We start from the raw sequence: 22,589 nt of genomic DNA, 5'->3' as shown, positions 1-22,589 counted from the left end.
CATGCTGTCTGTGTCTACCATGGAACAGGAGAAAACGGAAACTTCCAATTCTTACAATCAAGAGGTAGTAGCATGACCAATTCCAACACCTTCACTAGAGGTCGGAGGAGCAGAGCTATTACTCTCACAATCTTAAGAGTTGAAACAAATCTGACCCGGGCCAAGAAAGAGATGAGGAAAATCCCAGAAAGCATTTGTTTTGTTTCGTTTCCTGAGACAGAGTCTCACTCCATCACTCAGGTTGGAAGGCAGTGGCACGATCAAAACTCACTGCAGCCTCTACCTTCCAAGCTCAAGCAATCCTTCACCTCAGCCTCCCAAGTAGCTGGGACCAAGGCATGCACCATCACACCGAGCTAATTTTTTTTTTTTTTTTTTTTTGTAGAGATAGGGTCTCACTATGTTACCCAGGCTGGTCTCAAACGCCCAGACTCAAGCGATCCCTCCCACCTTAGCTTCCCAAAGTGCTGGGATTACAGGAGTGAGCCACCACACCCAGGCCCCCAGAAAGCATTTAAAGCAGAGATTGTCTTATCAGATTGCTGATAAATCACCTGCTCAGCTAAGGTATCACCCATTCCCAAGTCACCAATATCAAGGTCAACAAACTAATCCAAAGACCATCTCAATGAAACCTTAGTTCTTTCTGTTATGAATAATATCCCAACTGTTTCAACAATCAGAAAAAAAGGGGGAAAAACACTGTGACTCAAAAAATGTAAAAATTTTCAGAGAAACAAAGAATAATAACTACGATTACAAAATATATTTGGTATAACTAAGAATGAGGTATACAAGCTTTGAGTACAGAAATTTGGGCTCTGGCTCCATTTATCTGCTCTATGACTTATGTTCCTATGCTCTATAAGTTACTTGACTTTTCTGAGTCTCAGTCTTCTCATCTTTAAAATGAAGATAAATGGCCAGGCACTTTGGGAGGCTGAGGCAGGCGGATCACTCGAAGTCAGGAGTTTGAAACCAGCCTGGCCAACACGGTGAGAAACCTCACCTCTATTAAGAACACAAAAATTAGACAGACGTGGTGACACTCTCCTGTAATCCCAGCTACTTGGGAGGCTGAGGCATAAGAATCGTTTGAACCCAGGAGGCAAAGGTTTCAGTGAACCAAGATCACGCCACTGCACTCCAGCCTGGGTGACAGAACAAGACTCTGTCTCAAAAAAAAAAAGAAAAGGTAAAATGAAGATAAATACTATCTCAGAAGATAAAGCACTTAACACCTAACTTTATGAGCACTGAAGTTTATTTATTCATGCCTATAATTCCAGCACGTTGGGGGGCCAAGGTGGGAGGACTGCTTGAGGCCAGAAGTTTGAGACCAGCCTGGCTAACGTAGCAAGACCCTATCTCTAAAAAGAAAATAATAACTTAAAAAAAGTATTTATTCAATGATACTCATAAAAAAAATAATAAGGCATTCTGGCTGGGCACGGTAGTTCATGCCCGTAATCCCAGCACTTTGGGAGGCCAAGGTGGGTGGATCAACTGAGATCAGGAGTTCGAGACCAGCCTGGCCAACATGGCAAAACCCTGTTTCTACCAAAAATAAAAAAATTAGCCGGGTGTGATGGCAGGCGGGCACCTGTAATCCCAGTTACTCGGGAGGCTGAGGCAGGAAAATCGCTTGAACCTGGGAGGTAGAGATTGCAGTAAGCCGAGATCGTGCCATTGCACTCTAGCTTGGGATGCAACAGCGAAACTCCATCTCAGAAGAAGATACAAATAAAAAGACATTCTGCATCAGAGAAAGCACCAAAGCAGGCTTTAAAATTCAGGAGTGGATGAGACAACAGTACCAGAGTGAAGACATGTAGAAGGCATAAAATGGCCGGGCGCAGTGGCTCATGCCTGCAATCCCAGCACTTTGGGAGGCCAAGGCGGGTGGATCATGAGGTCAGGATTTCCAGACCATCCTGGCTAACACGGTGAAACCCCGTCCCTACCAAAAAATTAGCCAGGCACGGTGGCACGCACCTGTAGTCTCAGCTACTCGAGAGGCTTAGGCAGGAGAATCACTTGAACCCAGGAGGCGGAGGCTGCAGTGAACCGAGGTGGCGCCACCATACTCCAGCCTAGGTGACAGAGACTCTGTCTCAAAAAAAAAAAAAGAAGGCCGGGCACGGTGGCTTACGCCTGTAATCCCAGCACTTTGGGAGGCTGAGGCGGGCGGATCACGAGGTCAGGAGATCGAGACCATCCTGGCTAACACAGTGAAACCCCGTCTCTACTAAAAATACAAAAAATTAGCTAGGCACGGTGGCAGGCGTCTGTAGTCCCAGCTACTTGGGAGGCTGAGGCAGGAGAATGGCGTGAACCTGGGAGGCAGAGCTTGCAGTGAGCCGAGATAGCGCCACTGCACTCTGGCCTGGGCGAAAGAGCGAGACTCCGTCTCAAAAAAAAAAAAAAAAAAAAAGGCATAAATTTTATCTTTTTTTTTTTTTTTTTTTTAGACATATTATCGCTGTGTTGCCTAGGCTGGAGTGCAGTGGCACAATCTCAGCTTACCACAATCTCCGCCTCCCAGGTTCAAGCAATCCTCTGACCCCAGCCTCCCAAGTAGCTGGGAATACAGGCATGTACCACCACACAAGGCTAATCTTTGTATTCTTAGTAGAGATGGGGTTTCACCATGCTGGCCAGGCTGGTCTCGAACTCCTGACTTCAAGTGATCTGCCCACCTAAGCCTCTCACAGTGTTGGCATTACAGACATTAGCCACCGTGCCCAGCCCCATAAATTATATCTTTAAAAAATGATTACCACTCAATAATATACATTAAAAACATCTGATGCCTGCAGATACACGTCCCTCTAATTGGCAAGAAAATATTTTCCTAAAGATCATGAGTCTCAATAAAAATAACTCTGAGATCCCCTTTAATATAAGCATCCATAACTATAAAATGATACATATAAAAGGTTATTAATTACAGCATAATTTATTTACTTATTTATTTATTTATTTATTTATTTATTTATTTATTTATTTTTTGAGATGGAATTTCACTCTTGTAGCCCAGGCTGGAGTGCAATGGTGCGATCTCAGCTCACCGCAACCTCCGCCTCCCAGGTTCAAGTGATTCTCCTGCCTCAGCCTTCCAAGCAGCTGGGATTACAGGCCTGCACCACCATGCCCAGCTAATTCTGTATTTTTAGTAGAGACAGGGTTTCTCCATGTTGGTCAGGCTGGTCTCATACTCCTGACCTCAAGTGATCTGCCCACCTCAGCCTCCCAAAGTGCTGGGATTACAGGTGTGAGCCACCGTGCCTGGCCACATTATTTATTTATTTTTTTGAGACAGGGTCTCACTCTGTTACCCAGGCTGGAGTGCAGTGGCGTGATCTTGGCTCACTGCAACCTCCACCTCCCAGGTTCAAGCGATTCTCATGCCTCAGCCTCCCTAGTAGCTGGGACTACAGGCACCCACCACCATGCCTGGCTAATTTTTTGTATTTTTAGTAGAGACAGGGTTTCACCATGTTTGCCAGGCTGGTCTCGAACTCTTGACCTCAGGTGATCCGCCCACCTCGGCCTCTCAAAGTGCTGGGATTACAGGCATGAGCCACCATGCCCAGCCAAATTACAACATAATTTATGAGAACAACAACAAAAAAAAAAATCAAAAATAAGCCATATGTCCACCAAAAGGGATGTGGTTGAAAAAACTATGGTACATCCACCCAATAAAAATTATGCAACTGTATAAAAGTATAAAGATGTCAAAACAAGGTATAGAATAATCTATATAGTATGCTATCTTTCAAGTAAGAGATAGTATAGATAACATGCTGCCTTTTATATAAAAGAGAGTGAATGTGTGCACAAACTTTTGCTTGCTTTTTCAAAATAAAACAATGGAAAGATTAATCAGAAACTAATGAAAATAGTTCCCTATGAGGGTAAAGGGAAGACTGGGTAGTGGGGCTAGAGATGAAAGTGAGCCATAATGCTTTACATATTTTAAAAATAAAATAAAATTGAAAATTATTTAAATTATATGTAAGTCTAAGAAGCAAAATGTAGCAACAGTTGGACAAAATAATTCTACCATCAACTATCTAATATTTAATAACTATCTACTGTTTTCAAAATTTCCTGCCTATGCTAACATGGAAGCCAGCCAAGTAACAAGAAAGAGCAGGACTAAGGCCCATTTCATGCCAAAGGAAGCCAAAACAAAAATGGCAGGACCAAAGCAAAGTACTAAATTCTACCCATGCAATATTTAAACAGGTTCCCAGGTAGTTTCATTTCAGAACTCTCAGACAAAATCTAATCAGCATATTCTCCTCTTCAAAGTCTGAGACCAGGGAAACAAAGGTTCCCATGGTCATTTGTATGCCTGATTATATCAGCACAACACATGGTTCATGCCTTCATGAAGGCAATTACAACATTATACTATAACTTTTTTTTTTTCTTTTGAGACATGCTCTGGCTCTGCTGCCCAGGCTGGAGTGCAGTGGCACAATCTCAGCTCACTGCAACCTCTGCCTCCTGGGCACAAGCCATCCTCCCACCTCAACCTCCCAAGTAGCTGGGACTACAGGTGCACACCACCATGCCTGGCTAATTTTTGTATTTTTTGTAGAGATGGGATTTCACTATGTTGCCCTGGCTGGTCTCCAACTTCTGAGCTCAAGCAATCTGCCTGCCTCAGCCTCCCAAAGTGCTGGGATTACACGCATGAGCCACTGTACCCGGCCTGTACTGTAACTATTAATTTCTGTTTGTTTCGGTCCTTTCCCGTCATTGCAGGGATCCTCAAAATGTAAGTTATTCATCTGTAAGTATGAATAAGCAATGTAAGTTATTCATCTGTAAGTTTAACTGCAGTATCTGGCATACAGTGGGCACTCATCTTATCAATTCCATGAATACTGAATAAATTTTATAAACAGACAATCCCTAAGAAGACTTTCTGTTCATAAATATTTTTCCTACTCAAGACAAAATTTCACTATTGAAGGCTAATTTATTTGGATCTGTCTTCCAGAGTCTTTAACAAAATAGATACCTCTAAGAAGGGTATCAATGTTATCTCAATTGCTGTAAGCTAATATGTAAAGGGAATAAGAGAAAATGGCCCAAAGTTGAAGGGAAAGATTAGAAAGCAAAGAAATTGAGAAGCAGAACAGTAAAAGAAATGCGATGAAAAGATAAGATGGGAGGGAGGCAAAGAAATACCAGACTTTTGCCTAAAATCTGCCATCACTGACTCTTGTTATGATTGAATTGTAAACATTTCCAAATGTATTCACATCTAACACATTTTTCCTTAGAAACGAAAAGGATGAAGTTGGTTTTCACTTTTCTCAAAATGCTCAACAATGGTTGAAATTTCCTTTTTGATGTTTTCCTTCTTTGATCAAAACCAAACCAAAGAAGAGAAAAAAACTACAAATACAGTCTTTCAGAAGCTAAAAAGAGCAACACCATTAGAAAGACTTTAACATATGAAAATTCTGACAGGTGAATTTTCAAGGTTTGGGATGACAACTGAAAATCGTGAATATGACTGGAAGAGCTTACATTCCATATTTGTATAATATTTAAGAAAAATCAAAGTTTTAAGAAAAGCAAATTACTAATAAAAACTAATTTGAAGCCTCGAAAAAAAAATTCCTGCCTTTAGGGATCTTAAAATTAGTTCAGGAGCTAAGACATTAATATATGAAAAGATAACAAAAGGTAACAGATGGTAGGAGCCACCTGAGTGATCACAGGAGAAATAAAATTTGATTTGGAATATGGAAAGAGAGAAAGAGAATGTTAAAGGACATTCTACTTGGAGGAAAGAATATAACAAGTTTAAAAGATCTAAGTGTGTTTTGGGCGGAGTAGGGTTCCACAAGTGGAATATTGTGTGCACTCAGTCTCAGAATGTTTACCAAGACATCTGTCACCTTCACCCCGTCATCTGATAGCACAGAGCAATATAACTTATGAATAATGCTAGTCCTTAACGACATGACATTATCAACTTCTCTGAATAAAGAACGTGTTCTAACCTTTACTATTCTAAAATACTTCCTTCTTGAGATTCTGATATAAAGTTGAACATTTATGAATAGAATATTTAATTGCTTAAAAGAATTTTTCCTAACAGCCCTAAAGGTTGACTATAGAGAGAAAATTTTTTTAAGACACTGCTAATCCTCATAGCTAACATTTGAGAAGCTAAGAACAAGATATTTAAAATTACTTTAATAAATTTCAGTTTTATTCTATAAAGAAGCATTTCTGACCATTAAACTAATAAGGTTAAACAGACTTCTTAATATCAGCTCTATTGACCAGGCGCAGTGGTTCACACCTGTAATCCCAGCGCTTTGGGAGGCCAAGGCGTGTGGATCACTTGAGCCCAGGAGTTCAAGACCAGCCTATGCAACATAGTGAAACCCCATCTCTACAAAAACAAAACACAAAAATTAGCCAGGCATGGTGGCACACAGCTTAGTCCCAGCTACTCAGGGGGCTGAGATAGGAGGATCACTTGAACCTGGAGGCAGAGGTTGCAGTGAGCAGAGATCCCGCCACTGCACTCTAGCCTGGGCAACACAGAGAGACTCTGTCTCAACAACAACAAAAAAAAGAGCTCTTTATAGACATATAATTTATATACAAAAAAGTCAGCTTTATAGACATATAATTTATATACAAAAAATATTTAAGTGTATGGTTCAATGAGTTCTGACATATATAGTCATCTAACCGCCATCACAAGAGCAAGAAATCTTTAGTCTTCTCTTTAACTCCAAAATGCTATGCATCAGGAAAACTGATTTCCTATAAATGGCTTTGACTTTCTGAAGTGTGATCTTTTAAAGTTTTAGAAATTATAATACAGTATTCTAAAAACATACTATATACATGCCATCATTCATTTTGTATAATAGATGCAACTTCAAGGACAACATGAAAGCATCAAAGTCTTAAAACACATACATACCTACTCTTTTTTCTAAGAGGTTTCCTTGTTGGGCTAACTTGATTGCATGAATATAGCCAAAGGAAGCATCATATCCAAGCATTTCACAATATATAAGTCTCACCATACATTCCTTCATCATTTTCTGAAAAGCAAAATATCCAGTAGCTGTATAAATAAACAGAATATTTAGATTGTTTTAACTATGTTCTCATAATTTAAAAGGAGAATCCTTTAATCCTGGTGCTGAAGAAATAACATATATATTACAAATTAATCACCCAATATCAGACTTTATAAATAAAAATTGCTCCTGATCTTACTTACCAACAGTATTACTTTTAGTAAAATTATTTCACTATTTTGTTAGTAGCACTACTATAAAATAAATCAACTGTAGCTGTTTCTATGTGTCCCTAGTGAAAAATTTGGTTATAATGTGATACATGGGGTCTTCACACAAGATTTCATCATGGTCATTTTACTTGGCTTCTAAAATACAGCACATAATTTTAGTAGACTTTGTCAAATGAAAACATCCATAAAATTCCCACAAGTTGGTAATAATTCCTGTAACAAAAATATTTTTCACATTGGAAAACCAAATTGCACCTAGATTTTCTTCAGAATTATTGTGCTAAGTACAATATGGAATAGTTTGCTTTATAGGCACTCTTTTTTAATAACTCACAATTATAAACTGAGGGGCATGATTTCATTAATGGCATAGCTATTGTAATAATATTTAGTTTTCTAATGGGGTCTTTTAATATCTTCAATGCAAGCCAAAAATTTTTAAGGGATGCTAAAAAATTTGTTTTATCACTAAGATATTTGCATTCTCAATATTTATGGAAAATCTTAATCAGAAGTAAAATATATAAATAAAATGTGTTTCAAAATAACTAAAAGCTCACAGACTTTTTTTTTTTTTTTTTTTTTGAGACAGAGTCTCGCTCTGTCACCCAGGCTGGAGTACAGTGGCAAGATCTTGGCTCATCGCAGCCTCCACCTACCACGTTCAAGCGATTCTCATGCTTCAGCCTCTCTAGTAGCCAGGACCACAGGTGCACGCCACCACGCCCATCTAATTTTTGTATATTTAGTAGAGATGGGGTTTCACCATGTTGGCCAGGCTGGTCTCAAACTCTTGACCTCAAATGATCCACCCACCTCAGCCCCACAAATTGCCGGGATTACAGGTGTGAGCCACCACACCCGTCCACATAGACTATTTTAATATGTCAAAATTAACTAGGGTTAGCATATTACAGGATTATTAAATAACAAAATGCTCAGGAAACAGTAAAATTGAATATTTGAAAGCAAGGATAATAATGTTTAATGTAAATATAAAGAATTTAAAGAGAAACCATAGGAAAATCTTAAGGGAATGAGATTTAACTCAGGTCACTTGTGCTTAAAGCAGTAAAAGTTAATTCATTAACACATTAATTAAGACTACAAAACACTAGCTGGGCACAGTGACTCACTCCTGTAATCCCAGCACTTTGGGAGGCCAAGGAGGGCAGATCACCTGAGGTCAGGAGTTCGAGACCAGCCTGACCAACATGGTGAAACCCCATCTCTATTAAAAAAATACAAAAATTAGCCAGGCGTGGGGACCTGCGCCTGTAATTAATCCCAGCTACTTGGGAGGCTGAGGCAGGAGAATCGCTTGAACCCGAGAGGCAGAGGTTGCAGTGAGCCAAGATCACGCAGTTGCACTCCAGCCTAGGCAACAGAGCAAGACTCCATCCTCCCACCCTGCCGCCCCCAAAAAAGCTACAAAATACTGAGAAAACAAACAAAAGATAAACAAAAAATACTGGAAGTCCCTCTTCAGACTTCTACATTAATTAGGAGTTAAAGGGTTCATTTAAGCCATTAAGTTTCAACCCTAGATTTGTAACATTTTATCTCAGAGTTTTTCAAAAGTCATTATGAACTTTATCTAAGTGAGATTACATCTCATGCATTTATTTTTAGAGATGAAAGTGCATTCCCCAATGCAAGAATTCTCTTTACAATTTCTCTGACAGCCAACCTTTACATGAACAGCTCTGGGACAGACTACTCTGTAAGATATACACAGAGTTGGATGGCCATAGTGTTATAAAACCTTCCTTTCAAACTCTGCCTTCCTAATTTCTACCTATTTATCTTAGTTCTGCCCAACTTCAGGTTTCTGCCTTGGAACAAGGAAAATTATATACTGATGCCAATCATAAAAAATGGAAATCTAACAAACAAAAACCATTTCTGTTTAACGTTTCTATCTAGTACTATGAAGCATAATTATTTTATCCATAGCCACAGACACACATACATGTATACACACAAACATACATATACATATATACACATGGATATATCAGATTATGTTTTCAGTTTTATTTGCCACATACTATTATTATGACCACAGAAGAAAATATATTCATTCTCTCAGACTTTACAAGTGTTATTCAAATTCACAATCATGTGCTTATGCAAAATGATCGTCCTGATATTTTTACTGGCAGGGAGGGAAAACATTCCCACAGTGGCTTATATACTGAAGACACTCACCAAATATTTGCTGAAGATATGTTGCTTGAAACAAAATCTCATTTAAAAAAAAATCAGGCCAGGCACGGTGGCTCACACCTGTAATCCTAGTACTTTGATTTAGGAGGCTGAGGTGGGTGGATCGCTTGAGGTCAGGAGTGCGATACTAGCCTGGTCAACATGATGAAAACCCCAACTCTACTAAAAATACAAAAATTAGCCAGGCATGGTGGCGGGCACCTGTAGTCCCAGTTACTCAGGAGGCTGAGGCAGGAGAATCGGTTGAATCCAGGAGGCAGAGGTTGCAGTGAGCTGAGATCACGCCACGCCACTGCACTCCAGCTTGGGCAACAGAGCGAGACTCCGTCTCAAAAAAAAAAAAAAAAAATCAAACTGAGTTTTAATCTAGCTATGCTGGGACAGCCCCACAGTGGCCTGCATAATAATGAATGACCATTCATTAAATAGTTGCTGAATATTGTTTGAAAAATCAGATTATGTAGAACAAACTTTAAAAACAACTAGGTCTTAAATAATAAAATTAGATATACCTACAATATATTAATTCAGGTCTGAAAATATCATGTTGAAATCCCAACCTTTTCCAAATGCATAACATTAAAAACATCAGATCAGCACTAGGGTCCCAAGAGTATCTCCACATTTATGTAATCATCATCACATTAGCCCTGACTTCACATAGGCAAATCTTGTTCTGGTGCAAACCAGTCAACAATAAAAGGCTAAAGTTAACATCTGAGTTGCTACCAACTATAATTCATTTTGACTATGATAAATCAAATTTTAGCAACCGATCATCAGTTAGATGCCACTATTGAGTCCACAGTGACTAGATTTCAAATTCAAATGTGTTGGCACTGACTATGCAAACCTACCAGTGTTGTAGTAGGAGCAGAAACAGTCGCTTTCAGACTACTCAGTTCCTGCTGGATTAATTTTTCTTCTTCCTGAGAAAGTGAAAATATTTAAATGCTTGATTAACTGTCTTTTAAAACTGTAACAGCATTTATCTAAACGGAAAAATATAATTTACAATACTTTTAATTTAAAAGAAACATTATTTTAAAGGAGAGTTACAAATACTATCTGCTTACGATCTATCTAAAGGCATTTCTCCAAACCTCAGAACCATCCCTGGAGAGAATAAATATTTCCAGGCTAACCCATCCTTCCTCTTTTCTTTACTCAGTTACTTCCCCTTAATGGTAGAATAGCAGAAAATGTTTTTTTTTAAAACTAAAGGTGGAAGCCGGGCACAACAGCTCATGCCTGTAATCCCAGCACTTTGGGAGGCCAAGGCGAGTGAATCACTTGAGGTCAGCAGTTTGAGACCAGCCTGGCCAACATGGCAAAACCCCGTCCCTACTAAAAATACAAACATTAGCTGGGGGTCCTGTAATCCCAGATACTCGAGAGGCTGAGGCAGGGGCAGGAGAATCGCTTGAACCCGGGAAGTGAATGTTGCAGTGAGCCGAGATCGTACCACTGCACTCCAGCCTGGGTAACAGAGCAAGACTCCATCTAAAAAAAAAAAAAAAAAAAAAATTAAAGGTGGAGAGAGAGTAGAAATTCTCCATGTATTGGCCCAAGAAAAGAGTCTCATCTCACATCTTCCCCTTAGAAGTAAAAAGTCTTCATGGAATTAAGAAACAGGGTAAGAAAGCAGAAACAGAAATAGGTCTTTTTCCCTTAAACTACATTCTTCTTCCCTGTCTTTTCCTCATTCCCCAAATCCTTTCCATAACTTCCTATCTCAGACACATACCAATGTGGTCACTCCTACTGTCTGCATTGTATGTTATCTCCCTAAGCACTTAAAAAATTGGCCCCATTTTTTTTTGGCTAATATCATGCTACCTTTAAATTACACACTGAATTACATGTTCATCAGATGGCTATTCAAAAGCCACTAGTGACGTACTGATACACGTGGATGCCTATCTACAGTTTCAAACTGCTATTTAAGACCAAAAATAACTTTTTAAAAAATTTTATTGAGGATCCCTTAAAAATTAGCAAAGGACAAAAACCTTAAGAAAAACAACATTATTAAGGCCACAAATGGCCAGGCGTGGTGGCTCACGCCTGTAATCCCAGCACTTTGGGAGGCCAAGGCCAAGGCAGGTGGATTACCTGAGGTCAGGAGTTCAAGACCAGCCTGGCCAACATGGCGAAACCCTGTCTCTACTAAAAATATAAAAATTAGCCGGGTATGGTGACGTGTGCCTGTAATCCCAGCTACCAGGGAGGCTGAGGCAGAAGAATCACTTGAACCCAGGAAGCAGAAGTTGCAGTGAGCCAAGATTGCACCACTGCATTCCAGCCTGGGCGACAGAGTGAGACTCCATCTCAAAAACAAAACAAAACAAGACAAGCCCACAAGTAATGATTCTGGAATGTGAAGCAGGTTCTCTCCGGATAGCATCAACTTATTAGAGCTGCCAAAAAAATATTTTTTTTAAACCTTCAGAGCACTTTCTTTTCTGTCTTTCCTTCTCTTTTAGCACTTCTATTGCATTGTAGTCATGCTTATACTTGTCTTAAGCCCAAAACGAATGACTAATTCCTTGGGAAAAGGGAATGTGTTTAATTCTATTTTCCTGTGTCTAACACATAACCTTGTTCCATAAACATCTGTTGAACAAATAATGACATTAACACGTGCTCTTTTTAAGATATAAACTCCTTGTAGCTGTGAATCGGTATACTACACAATCCGTGCAACCATCGAGCGCCTGTGGGGGCCCGGCGCGGTGGCTCATGCCTGTAATCCCAGCACTTTGGGAGGCCGAAGTGAGCGAACACTTGAGGTCAGTTCAAGACCAGCCTGCCCAACATGGTGAAATCCTGTCTCTACTAAAAATACAAAAATTAGCCGGGCGTAGTGGCATACGCCTATAATCCCAGCTACTTGGGAGGCTGAGGCAGGAGAATCGCTTGAACCCGGGAGGCAGACGCTCCAGTGAGCCAAGATCGCACCATCGCACTCCAGCCTGGGCGACAGAGCGAGACTCCGTCATTAAAAATTTAAAAATTTTAAGGCCGGGCAGGGTAGCTCACGCACGTAATCCCAACACTTTGGGACGCCAAGGCGGGCGGATCGCGAGGTCAGGAGATCGAGACCATCCTCGCTAACACGGTGAAACCCCGTCTCTACGAAAAGTACAAAAAATTAGCCAGGCAGTGGCGGGCACTTGTAGTCCCAGCTACTCGGGAAGCTGAGGCAGGAGAATGGCGTGAACCCGGAAGGCGGAGCTTGTAGTGAGCCCAGATCGCGCCACTGCACTCCAGCCTGCGCGACAGAGCGAGACTCCGTCTCAAAAAAAAACAAAAATTAAAATTTTTAAAACCTTAAGGCTCCAGCGAGCCGAGATCGAGATCGCACCATTGCACTCCAGCCTGGGCGACAGAGAGAGACTCCGTCAATAAAAATTTAAAAATTTTAAAAGTTTAAGAATTTTTATAACTGCTCATTTTCAAAGCCCACTTGAGGCAGAGACTTAGCAAATTTTACATTTTGAGAGAACTGTGCTTTTTCTTTGCCCAACACGTTGTTGTAACCCAAGAACCTCAAGCTCCCCAAAGATATTCAACAAGAGGCTCACAGGATCTCTTCAGGTATGCGACATCTGAACTGTTGTTCAGTTGAAGGCACCGGGGGAGAGAAGGAAACTGAGTAGGGAAAAAAAACTTTGTGGAAGGTAAATAATGTCTGACACTTCCATCGCACTAGGTATTTTCACACGCTTGACATCTCACCCAATCCTCAAAACAAACAAAAAACCTATGAATTATGTATCAGTACTTTTCCACCACAACGTTGAGAAAACACACGGAGGCTCAGAGGTTACAGAGATGTGCCCCCGATCAAAGAGTCAGTGTCAGAACTAACTGTGGAAACTCGGCTTCCCTGCTGTCAGTCCCAGCAGGAAAGTGAAGCTTCCAGGCAGACGAAAGGACGAACCGACACAGCAGCCCCTGAGCCCCGCCGGAGGGCTAACCCCAGAGGCCCTGAAGTCTCGCCGCCCGGCCAGGGCCTCCTGGCGCGGGGGCCTCACTCCGATGTCCCTGAGCTCCCGGGCCGGCGGGCACCTACGTGCTTGGAGGTGAGGGCTGTGATGCCGCGGACAAGGCTGCCCAGCCTCGAGGAGAAGGACGCCTTGGCGGCCGCGGGCCCACCACCGGGCTGGTTCTGCAGAAAGAGTCCCGGCAGCGCCGTCAGCGTCTTCTCCACTATGTCGCTCATCGCCGCCGCCGCCCGCGATGCCGCCGCCGCCCGCGATCCCGTAGCCGCCCGGCTTCATGCCCGGCCGCCGCTGCCGGCCCGGCCTCCGTAGGCACTTCCTGTTTTTTGAATAAGAAATCTTTATTGGCGTCCCACCTGAACAAGTTCAGCGTCGTTCTCGCGAGAGGCCACCAGAGGGCGCAAGAGACCGCGGGGGTGGAAAAGGCCGCTCGCTCGAGATTGCGCGCGTAAGTAGACCTCCTTTCTCGCGACGGGGTAGCGGTTCCGGAATCCCCCAGAACCGTGAGTCCTCCTGAGGAAGCCGTCGGGGGCCTGGCCCTGTTAGGCACTGTCTCCCAGAGTCCCCCTTTCCCACTAGCCGCCTCCGCGTAGCCCGAGACCGCGTCAGGAGTTGCGTCTTCCTGGCTGCGCCTTTTTCGGGACGTCCCCGCGCCGTCCGCCGCCTCTCACTGTCCCCGGAGCGCGCGCCACCCGCCCGCTTCCCACAGGCGGTTTCACGCGGGTCCCCGGCGCCGCGCGCGGCTCCGGCCCTGGCGACTCTTGGGACACCCGAGTAGTTGCGTGATAGCGGGGCTGTCCTGAGGATTCGGCGTGCCAGGTTGAGAGCCCGTCGCGTGCCGGGGACTCGCGGCCACTGTCGCTTCCCGTCCGCCCCTCTTCTCCTGGGATTTGGGGAGGTGGGCGGGAAAGAGAACTGGTCGGCGGCCACCCTTGCCGACTCCTCCTCAGCAGGTCGCAGTTGAAAGGTCATCCTTCTAGAGCCCACTCCCCTGGCCCGGCGGGCAAGGATAGGTCTCCAAGTCCCACCCTCTCACAGCGCTCGGTTCTGTTCCACTTTAGAACAGGTCGCAGTTGCCACTACGTAAACAGCTCCCCATAGAGAGAGTATTTTATTCATTCCGATTGCTCCGTCTTTTATCTAGAACAGAGTCTGGTACAATGGCTCTCGAAATGTGGTCTGGTGACCTCAGGGTCGCTGAGACCCTTCTAGGGAATTCACAAAGTCAAAACAACATTGATAACGTTTCTTACGTGTTATTTGCCGTTTTTACCCTCATTCTGTTGGAAATGTACAGAGTTTTCAAGCGGCTAGATGACGATTGACTAGCTGGTAAAATGTATCCTGGAGTATCCTTGTGTTTTCTAGAATTTTCTAAGGTAGTAGGTTTAGGGCATAAATACGTGCGTTTTCAGAGATTAATGCAATTTGCTCTCAGTACTCCTAGTGTGTTTCTAGGAGGTAGGTTAGGTAGGTGGTGATAGCCTCCCTTCAAGGGGAACAAACTTGCTAAATAAATAGAACAAACCAGCCCATAGTGTACAAACCACATCCGAGGCTCCTGGTTAGAAAATTTTGCAGCAAAGAGGTACGAGAGCAGAAGGGAAAATCCCCAAACTCTCACAAGCGCAGAAACCCATGATCAGTGTCGTTGGGCTGAATTATACTCATTATAATAGTAAAAAAAAAAAAAAAAAAAAAACACCACTCCTGGGTGAAGATTTAAGATACTAATAAGACATGCAGTGTATGTACTAGCATATACAACCACAGCGCACATGGCGACAGAAAACCAGAGAACGTGCTTAATAGCAGCACCCGTTCTCCCCGCTTCATGAATGATCCTGTGAGACTCCTACAAAGGGAGTTTCCCCAGTGTCAGTGCATGCTGTCTCACCTTTGAGCAGCCCGCTCTGATCAGCTGTGAGGGTGTACTTTCGCTTTGCAATAAACTCTTTTGCTTGCTTTTACTTTGGACTTCAAAATTATTTTGCACCGCGAAGTCCAGAACCTCAACCGGCCCACCAGCTACAGCTACACTTACAAGCTATCTTCGGTTATACCTGCTCTAATCTCTGTAACCTCCTTGTCACCTAATAAATGAGTTTTTTTGAAATCCTGAAGTTGTTTTAATACCTATATGGGAACATAAGAAAAAAGTTCAATTTGTTGGCTTGTCTCGCAAGAATATTTTTTAATATATTGAGAACATTTTAAAATATTTAAACTTTATCTAAAAGGGATACTCATTTATTCATTTAATTTTTTTTTTTTCAGAGTCTCGCTCTATCACCCAGACTGGAATGCAGTGGCACAATCTGGGTTCACTGCAGCCTCCTCCCCCTGGGTTCAAGCAATTCTCCTGCCTCAGCCTCCCGAGTAGCTGGGATTACAGGCGCCCGCCACCATGCCCGGCTAATTTTTGTATTTTTAGTAAACACAGAGTTTCACCATTTTGGCCAGGCTGGTCTCGAACTCCTGACCTCAGGTGATCCGCCCACCTCAGCCTCCCAAAGTGCTGGGATTACAAGCGCGAGCCACTGCGCCCAGCCAGAAAGGGATACTCTTTTAGAATTTAATTTTGTTATTTTATTATTATTTTTTGAGATGGTGTCTCGCTCTGTTGCCCAGGATGGAGTGCAGTGGTGTGATCTCGGCCCACTGCAACCTCCGCCTCCCAGGTTCAAGCAGTTCTCCTGCCTCAGCCTCCCGAGTAGCTGGGATTACAGGTGCGTGCCACCACACCCGGCTAATTTTTTGTATTTTTAGTAGAGATGTGGTTTCACCACGTTGGCCAGGATGGCCTCGGTCTCCTGACCTCATGATCTGCCCGCCTCAGCCACTCAAAGTGCTGGGATTACAGGTGTGAGCCACCACGCCCTGCCTAGAATTTAATATTTTGTCGTCCGGGCGCGGTGGTTTATGCCTATATTCTAGCACTTTGGGAGGCCAAGGCGGGCAGATTGTCTGAGCTCAGGAGTTCCAGACCAACCTGGCCAACATGGTGAAACCCCGTCTCTACTAAAAATACAAAATATTCGGACAGGCACGGTGGCTCCCACCTGTAATCACAGCACTTTGGGAGGCCAAGGTGCACAGACCACAAGGTCAGGATATCAAGACCAGCCTGGCCAACCTATGACTCTACTAAAAAAATACAGAAATTAGCCGGGCATGGTGGCGTGCGCCCGTAATCCCAGCTACTCGGGAGGCTGAGGCAGGAGAATTGCTGGGACCCGGGAGGCGGAGGTTGCAGTGAGCCGAGATTTCACCACTGCACTCCAGCGTGGGCGACAGAGCAAGACTCCACCTCAAAAAAAAAAAAATACAAAAAATTTAGCCGGGCATGGTGGCACACCTGTAGTCCCAACTACTTGGGAAGCTGAGGCAGGAGAATTGCTTGAACCTAGGAGGCGAAGGTTGCAGTGAGCCAAGATCGCACCACTGTACTCCAGCCTGGGTGACAGAGCAAGACTCTGTCTCCAAAAAAAAAAGGAATTTAATATTTTATCTTTAAATTAAATTTTGTTTTATGTATAGTTTTTTAATTTTAGGTTCTTCCATTGGCTTAAAAAGGGGATACTAGAAGATTCGCTTTCTAACCTTCCCGTCTGTAAAGATGCCGAAAAAGATGAAGCTGACATCAGTATCAGAATTCACTGACTCAGGGAAAGGGAGAAATCTGGTCGAAACTATAAATAACAAAGGAAAGTATGACAAAAGCTTCTTTCTTTCCCTTGGCATTAGAGATGTTAATCACTTGCCTTATTTTATGTCATTCAACAGAACATTTTCAAATACTATTATGGTGCCAATCAAGTTGAGGCATCATTTTCAGACCAGTCAGAATTTAAAAGAAAGGGAATTTAATACTTTCAACATAGAGATGATATGCTTTATAAAAGCCAAAGCTTTTGTATTACCATTTTCAAAGTAAAAATGAAAAACCTACTGAAGCATCTTACACATGAAATTATTATATTTCATTGATAGGAGAAGGACATGCAATAGCTAAAAGACTAATGAATGCCTGCTAGCTGATAATCAGTAAAAGAACTCATGGGAGTGCTACTTTCCAAAGATGCAATAACTCACCAAATTAGACATTTAGTTGCAGGCCAGGCGAGGTGGCTCATGCCTGTAATCCCTGAATTTTGGGAGGCCAAGGCAGGCGGATAACTTGAGATCAGGAGTTTGAGACCAACCTGGCCAATATGGTGAAACCCTGTCTCTACTAAAAATACAAAAAAAAAAAATTAGCTGGGCATGGTGGTACATGCCTGTAATCCCAGTTATTCGGGAGGCTGAGGCTGGAGAATCACTTGAACCTGGGAGGCAGAGGTTACAGTGAGCTGAGATGGTGCCACGGCACTCCAGCCTGGACAACAGAGCAAGACTGTCTCAAAAAAAAGAAAGAAATTTAGTTGCAAATATAAAGACTGAGTTACTATGTCATCTGCAGAATTATAATTCCTTTAAAATGGACATAATTATTCATGTAGCTGGACTTGTTGCTTTGCTTATACCCATCCAGTGTCAGCACCAACTAATTCTTGAAGATCCTCTTTTACATAAATCTTGACAAGAAACACAAGTGGTGATGAAATAATGTATTGAACAACTTCTTTGAATCTCATAGTTTATCCTGGAACAATACACTCAATTTTTTTTAAGTCAGTTTCACTTAAGAATATCCTTGATGAAGCAGTAAGAATTCTTAATTTTATTAAATTTCAGTCTTTGAGTGCACTTTTTAAAAAATTTTTTTTGTGACAAAATGGGAAGTACTCATAAAGTACAACCTCATAAAGTATAAACTCTTAAATCCTGAGGCTTTTCTTTTGGCCGGGTGTGGTGGCTCAGGCCTATAATCCCAGCACTTTGGGAGGCTGAGGCGGGCAGAGCACCTGAGGTCAGGGGTTCGAAACCAGCCTGGCCAACGTGGTGAAACCCCATCTCTACTAAAAATGCAAAATTACCTGCGCGTGGTGGCACATGCCTGTAATCCCAGCTACTTGGGAGGCTGAGGCAGGAGAATCACTTGAACCCGGGAGGCGGAGGTTGCAGTGAGCTGAGATCGTGCCATTGCACTTCAACCTGGGCAACAAGAGCGAAACTCCGTCTCAAAAAAAAAAAAAAGAAAAAGAAAAAATTCTTGAGGCATAACTGAGATAAGATAGTTTCTCAAGGAAAAGCATTTGTATCATTGTTTAACTTGAAAGCTGAACCGGCCTGGCACAGTGGCTCATGCTTGTAATGCCAGCACTTTGGGAGGCCAAGGCGGGGGGATCACGAGGTCAGGAGATCAATACCATCCTAGTTAACACGGTGCAAAACCCGTCTCTACCAAAAATACAAAAAATTAGCCGGGCGTGGTGGCGGGCGCCTGTAGTCCCAGCGATTCTGGAGGCTGAGGCAGGAGAATGGCGTGAACCTGGGAGGCGGAGCTTGCAGTGAGCCTAGATCACGCCACTGCACTCCAGCCTGGGCGACAGAGTGAGACTCCGTCTCAAAAAAAGAAAAGAGAAGGCCGGGCGCGGTGGCTCACGCCTGTAATCCCAGCACTTTGGGAGGCCGAGACGGACGGATCACGAGGTCAGGAGATCGAGACCATCCTGGCTAACACGGTGAAACCCCGTCTCTACTAAAAATACAAAAATTAGCCGGGCATGGTGGCGCGCGCCTGTAGTCCCAGCTACACGGGAGGCTGAGGCAGGAGAATGGCGTGAACCCGGGAGGCGGAGCTTGCAGTGAGTCGAGATCGCGCCACTGTACTCCATCCTGGGCGACAGAGCGAAACTACGTCTCAGAAAAAAAAAAGAAAAGAGAAAGCTGAACCAACCACTTTTTTTCATGGAACACCATTTTTAGTTGAAAGCGATAAACAGTAGTTTTCTTGAAAATGAACAGTGAGTCTTTCAGTTGTAGGGAAAGAAAAAAATCTTTTTCTCTTACCCTTCTAAGTTCTTGGCTGGGTCCCCTGTGAAAAAAACAAGCAAGTTTATTAAAATGTATGGAGCATATAACATAGGAATAACTAGAAATGAGTAATTCAAAGAAGGTAAAACTCTGGCTTATATAGCATCTTTAACAAAATACAATAAACTTATAGAGAAATGACAGGACAAAGGAAAGCAGTTTTAGTCTTCCAGGGCTGGGAATCTTGGGGAAGGAAAATATATGGAAAGAAACTAATGAAGTAAGGTTTGTGTGCACATTCCTCTGGTGCCACCTCTGGGCTAGTAAGATGGTAGAGTTGCCTCCAGTAAAGGAAGTTGTATCCTGCCTTTAAACAGAAAAGGAGGAGGGTAGAGAGAGTGTTTCCTGCCTTTGCTGCTGCTTAATTGCCTTCAGCTCAAAATAATATTCATGTCAAATAGGAATATTTTGGGGTGACAGAGTCTGGTTTCCTTCACACTTCAAGGAAGATAACTGACAATATTTGTTGCCACTGATAAATTCAGGCTTTCAAGTGAAAACTAAAATTTTGAAAAATGTTTGTCTACTACAATTTTAATAATTTCCAGATACATAAAGACCATTCTGATAAATTGGTGATTATGTTAATGAATTTTTTATATTGTATAATTAAATGTGCCAACATTTGAAAGATCTCCATAACTCAATGAACCAATATTTTCCAAATGATCAATGCACAATGTTATAAAATTATGTACCAGCAAAACATCCACTTAAAGCAAATAGTGTAACCATAATAGGGCCCTTCGCCCAATATGTGACAAGTTAATATGCCAAGACACCAGGTTGTAGCAGAGAAAGAGGTTTAATTGTAGGGCTGCCAGATGAGGAGATGGGAGAAAACCTCAAATCCATTTCCCCAAGGAATGTGGAGCTAGGGATTTTAAAGGTTTGGGAGTAGGCCAAAGTGTAGAGATTGATCAGAGTGCAGGGTGAAGCCATGGGACAGGGAGATGTTATTGATTCCGTTCCTCTCTGGGGGTTTTTAAACTGGTTGGCATCAGCTGTTCAGGTGGAATTCAGGATCTGCTTAAGCAGTTCTTAAACCCTTTATGATTCTAATGTCAGAGATCCTATCTATCTTAAAAGCCCTGGCCAGGCGCGGTGGCTCACATCTGTAATCCTAGCACTTTGGGAGTCCGTGCCAAGGCAGACAGATCACTTGAGGTCAGGAGTTTGAGGCCAGCCAGGCCAACATGGTGAAACCCCGTCTCTACCAAAAACACAAAAATTAGTTGAGTGGGCCAGGTGCGGTGGTTCATGCCTGTAATCCCAGCACTTTGGGCCAAGGCGGGCAAATCACCTGAGGTCAGGAGTTCGAGATCAGCCTGGCCAACATGGTGAAACCCTGTCTCTACTAAAAATACAAAAATCAGCTAGGCGTGGTGGCAGGTGCCTGTAATCGCAGCTATTCGGGAGGCTGAGGCAGGAGAATCGCTTGAACCCAGGAGGCAGAGGTTGCAGTGAGCCAAGATTGCATCACTGCATTCCAGCCTGGGTGACAGAGAGAGACTCCATCTCAAAAAAAAAAAAAAAAAAAAGCCTAATGTCAGAAATTCTGTCAATAGGAACAATGGGAACGCAAATGGTCTCTATGTAGTGTAACCTGACTTTTGGTTACAAGGAAGTGGGTCAGAGTGCAGCCTGATTAATGCTCAATTATAACTATATTTCCTTCCAGAATTCTTGTTAACCCTTTGAGGACAGCTTCAATAGAATTATGATTTCAATGTAACCTAGTAAAAAAGGTTCCCTGATGGTTTCAGATTCCACATTGCAACAACTTTTTAAAAACTACTTACTGCTTTTAGTGTTGGATCTAAGAAGAATATCTACAATTATTTGAAAGGGATTTTTCCCCAACTACTTTCTGTATGTGACCAGGTTTTCCTCATAAACTTCAACAAAAAAGAAAAACCTTGTGGTAGGCTGATAATGACTTCCAAAGATGTCCGTGTTCTAATCCCTGGAATTTGTGTTACCTCGTGGTAAAACTTTTACAGATGAGATGAAGTTAAGGATCTTTAGGTAAAGAGATTATCATGGATTACCTGAGTGGATTATTGATGTTATCTCAAGCATCCTGTTAAGAGAGAAGGGAGATTAGCCACCCAACACAGAAGTGAAATTGATGTGAAGATGAAGGCAGAGATTAGTGTGATGCCTCTAAAAGTCAAGCAATGCCAGCAGTTACCAAAAGCTGGAAGAAGAAGCTTCTCTAGAGCCTCCAGAGGGAACGTTTTCCTGCCCACACTTTGACTTTGGCCCAGTGAAACTGGTATTGAACTTTCTGGCCTCCAGAACTATGAGGGAATAAATTTCTGTAGTTTTGAGCCACCAAGTTTGTGATAATTTGTTAAACAGCAACCACAGGAAACTAATACAAACCCCAAATCAACAGATTACGTGCAGAACCAGACATGACAATGCAATGTTTTATATTAATCCTGACATTAAAGAGACTTGCAAAGTTGTAAAACAGTGACACAGTTCTTTAATTGTTTTGGAATTTGATATACAGTCAGCTCTCCATATCCACGTGATCCATATCCCCAAGGATTTAACCAACTGTGGATCAAAATCCACCATGGATGAAAAACCCTCAGATGAAGAAGGCTAATTAAGGGACTCAAGCATCCACCAATTTTGATATCCACGAGGGTCCTAGAATCAATCCCCTGAGGATACTGAGGGCTGACTATATAACTGTTTTTCATTTAAAAATAGAAAAGGATGTCAACATGCAATGGGTTTATTGTTGCTGTTTCATTTATTTATTATTTTTTTTCTTTGAGATGGAGTTTTGCTCTTGTTTTCCAGGCTGGAGTGCAATGGCACAATCTCAGTTCGCTGCAACCTCCACCTCCCAGGGATTGTGCTGCCTCAGCCTCCCAAGTTGTTGGGATTATAGACACCCACCACCACGCCCGGCTAATTTTTTGTATTTTTAGTAGAGACGGGGTTTCCCCATGTTAGCCATGCCGATCTCCAACTCTGGACCTCAGGTGAACTACCCGCCTCGGCCTCCCAAAGTGCTGGGATTACAGGCGTGAGCTACTGCACCC

The 22,589-nt window shown here is 42.7% G+C and overlaps 1 protein-coding gene across 7 annotated transcripts in view, besides 4 other annotated features; it reads right to left on the bottom strand.

Moving 5' to 3' along the window:
• The window catches only part of AP4E1 (adaptor related protein complex 4 subunit epsilon 1), a 98,404-nt gene extending 83,351 nt beyond the window's left edge, over positions 1–15,053 (bottom strand). For 2 of the 7 annotated variants that reach the window (XM_047432324.1, XM_047432326.1), the window contains exons 1-3: positions 10,900–11,036; positions 10,396–10,467; positions 6,974–7,097 (exon numbers count right to left, since the gene is read on the bottom strand). In XM_047432324.1, the coding sequence (XP_047288280.1) occupies positions 6,974–7,094 (121 nt within the window). In that variant the 5' untranslated portion in view covers positions 7,095–7,097; positions 10,396–10,467; positions 10,900–11,036. Of the gene's footprint in view, positions 1–6,973; positions 7,121–10,395; positions 10,468–10,899; positions 11,037–13,125; positions 13,561–13,616; positions 13,863–13,901 lie in introns of those variants that run through there. The other 5 variants (XM_005254264.5, NM_001252127.2, NM_007347.5 and 2 more) reach the window with 5 other exon arrangements.
• Positions 12,786–13,527: an enhancer, noted in NCBI's record as "NANOG-H3K27ac-H3K4me1 hESC enhancer chr15:51201215-51201956 (GRCh37/hg19 assembly coordinates)". NCBI's record gives its function as "activates a minimal SCP1, AML or CMV promoter by ChIP-STARR-seq in primed H9 embryonic stem cells {active_cell/tissue: H9 hESC(primed)}" and the evidence as "EXISTENCE:reporter gene assay evidence [ECO:0000049][PMID:30033119]".
• Positions 13,528–14,269: an enhancer, noted in NCBI's record as "NANOG-H3K27ac hESC enhancer chr15:51200473-51201214 (GRCh37/hg19 assembly coordinates)". NCBI's record gives its function as "activates a minimal SCP1, AML or CMV promoter by ChIP-STARR-seq in primed H9 embryonic stem cells {active_cell/tissue: H9 hESC(primed)}" and the evidence as "EXISTENCE:reporter gene assay evidence [ECO:0000049][PMID:30033119]".
• Positions 13,574–13,743: an enhancer, noted in NCBI's record as "active region_9402". NCBI's record gives its function as "activates an Ori minimal core promoter by ATAC-STARR-seq in GM12878 lymphoblastoid cells {active_cell/tissue: GM12878}" and the evidence as "EXISTENCE:reporter gene assay evidence [ECO:0000049][PMID:35858748]".
• Positions 13,764–14,053: an enhancer, noted in NCBI's record as "active region_9401". NCBI's record gives its function as "activates an Ori minimal core promoter by ATAC-STARR-seq in GM12878 lymphoblastoid cells {active_cell/tissue: GM12878}" and the evidence as "EXISTENCE:reporter gene assay evidence [ECO:0000049][PMID:35858748]".

The sequence above is a fragment of the Homo sapiens genome, chromosome 15 (genome assembly GCF_000001405.40).
Source record: "Homo sapiens chromosome 15, GRCh38.p14 Primary Assembly".
Classification (NCBI taxonomy): Eukaryota; Metazoa; Chordata; class Mammalia; order Primates; family Hominidae; genus Homo; species Homo sapiens.
This window is presented reverse-complemented; position numbering and strand designations above follow the sequence as displayed.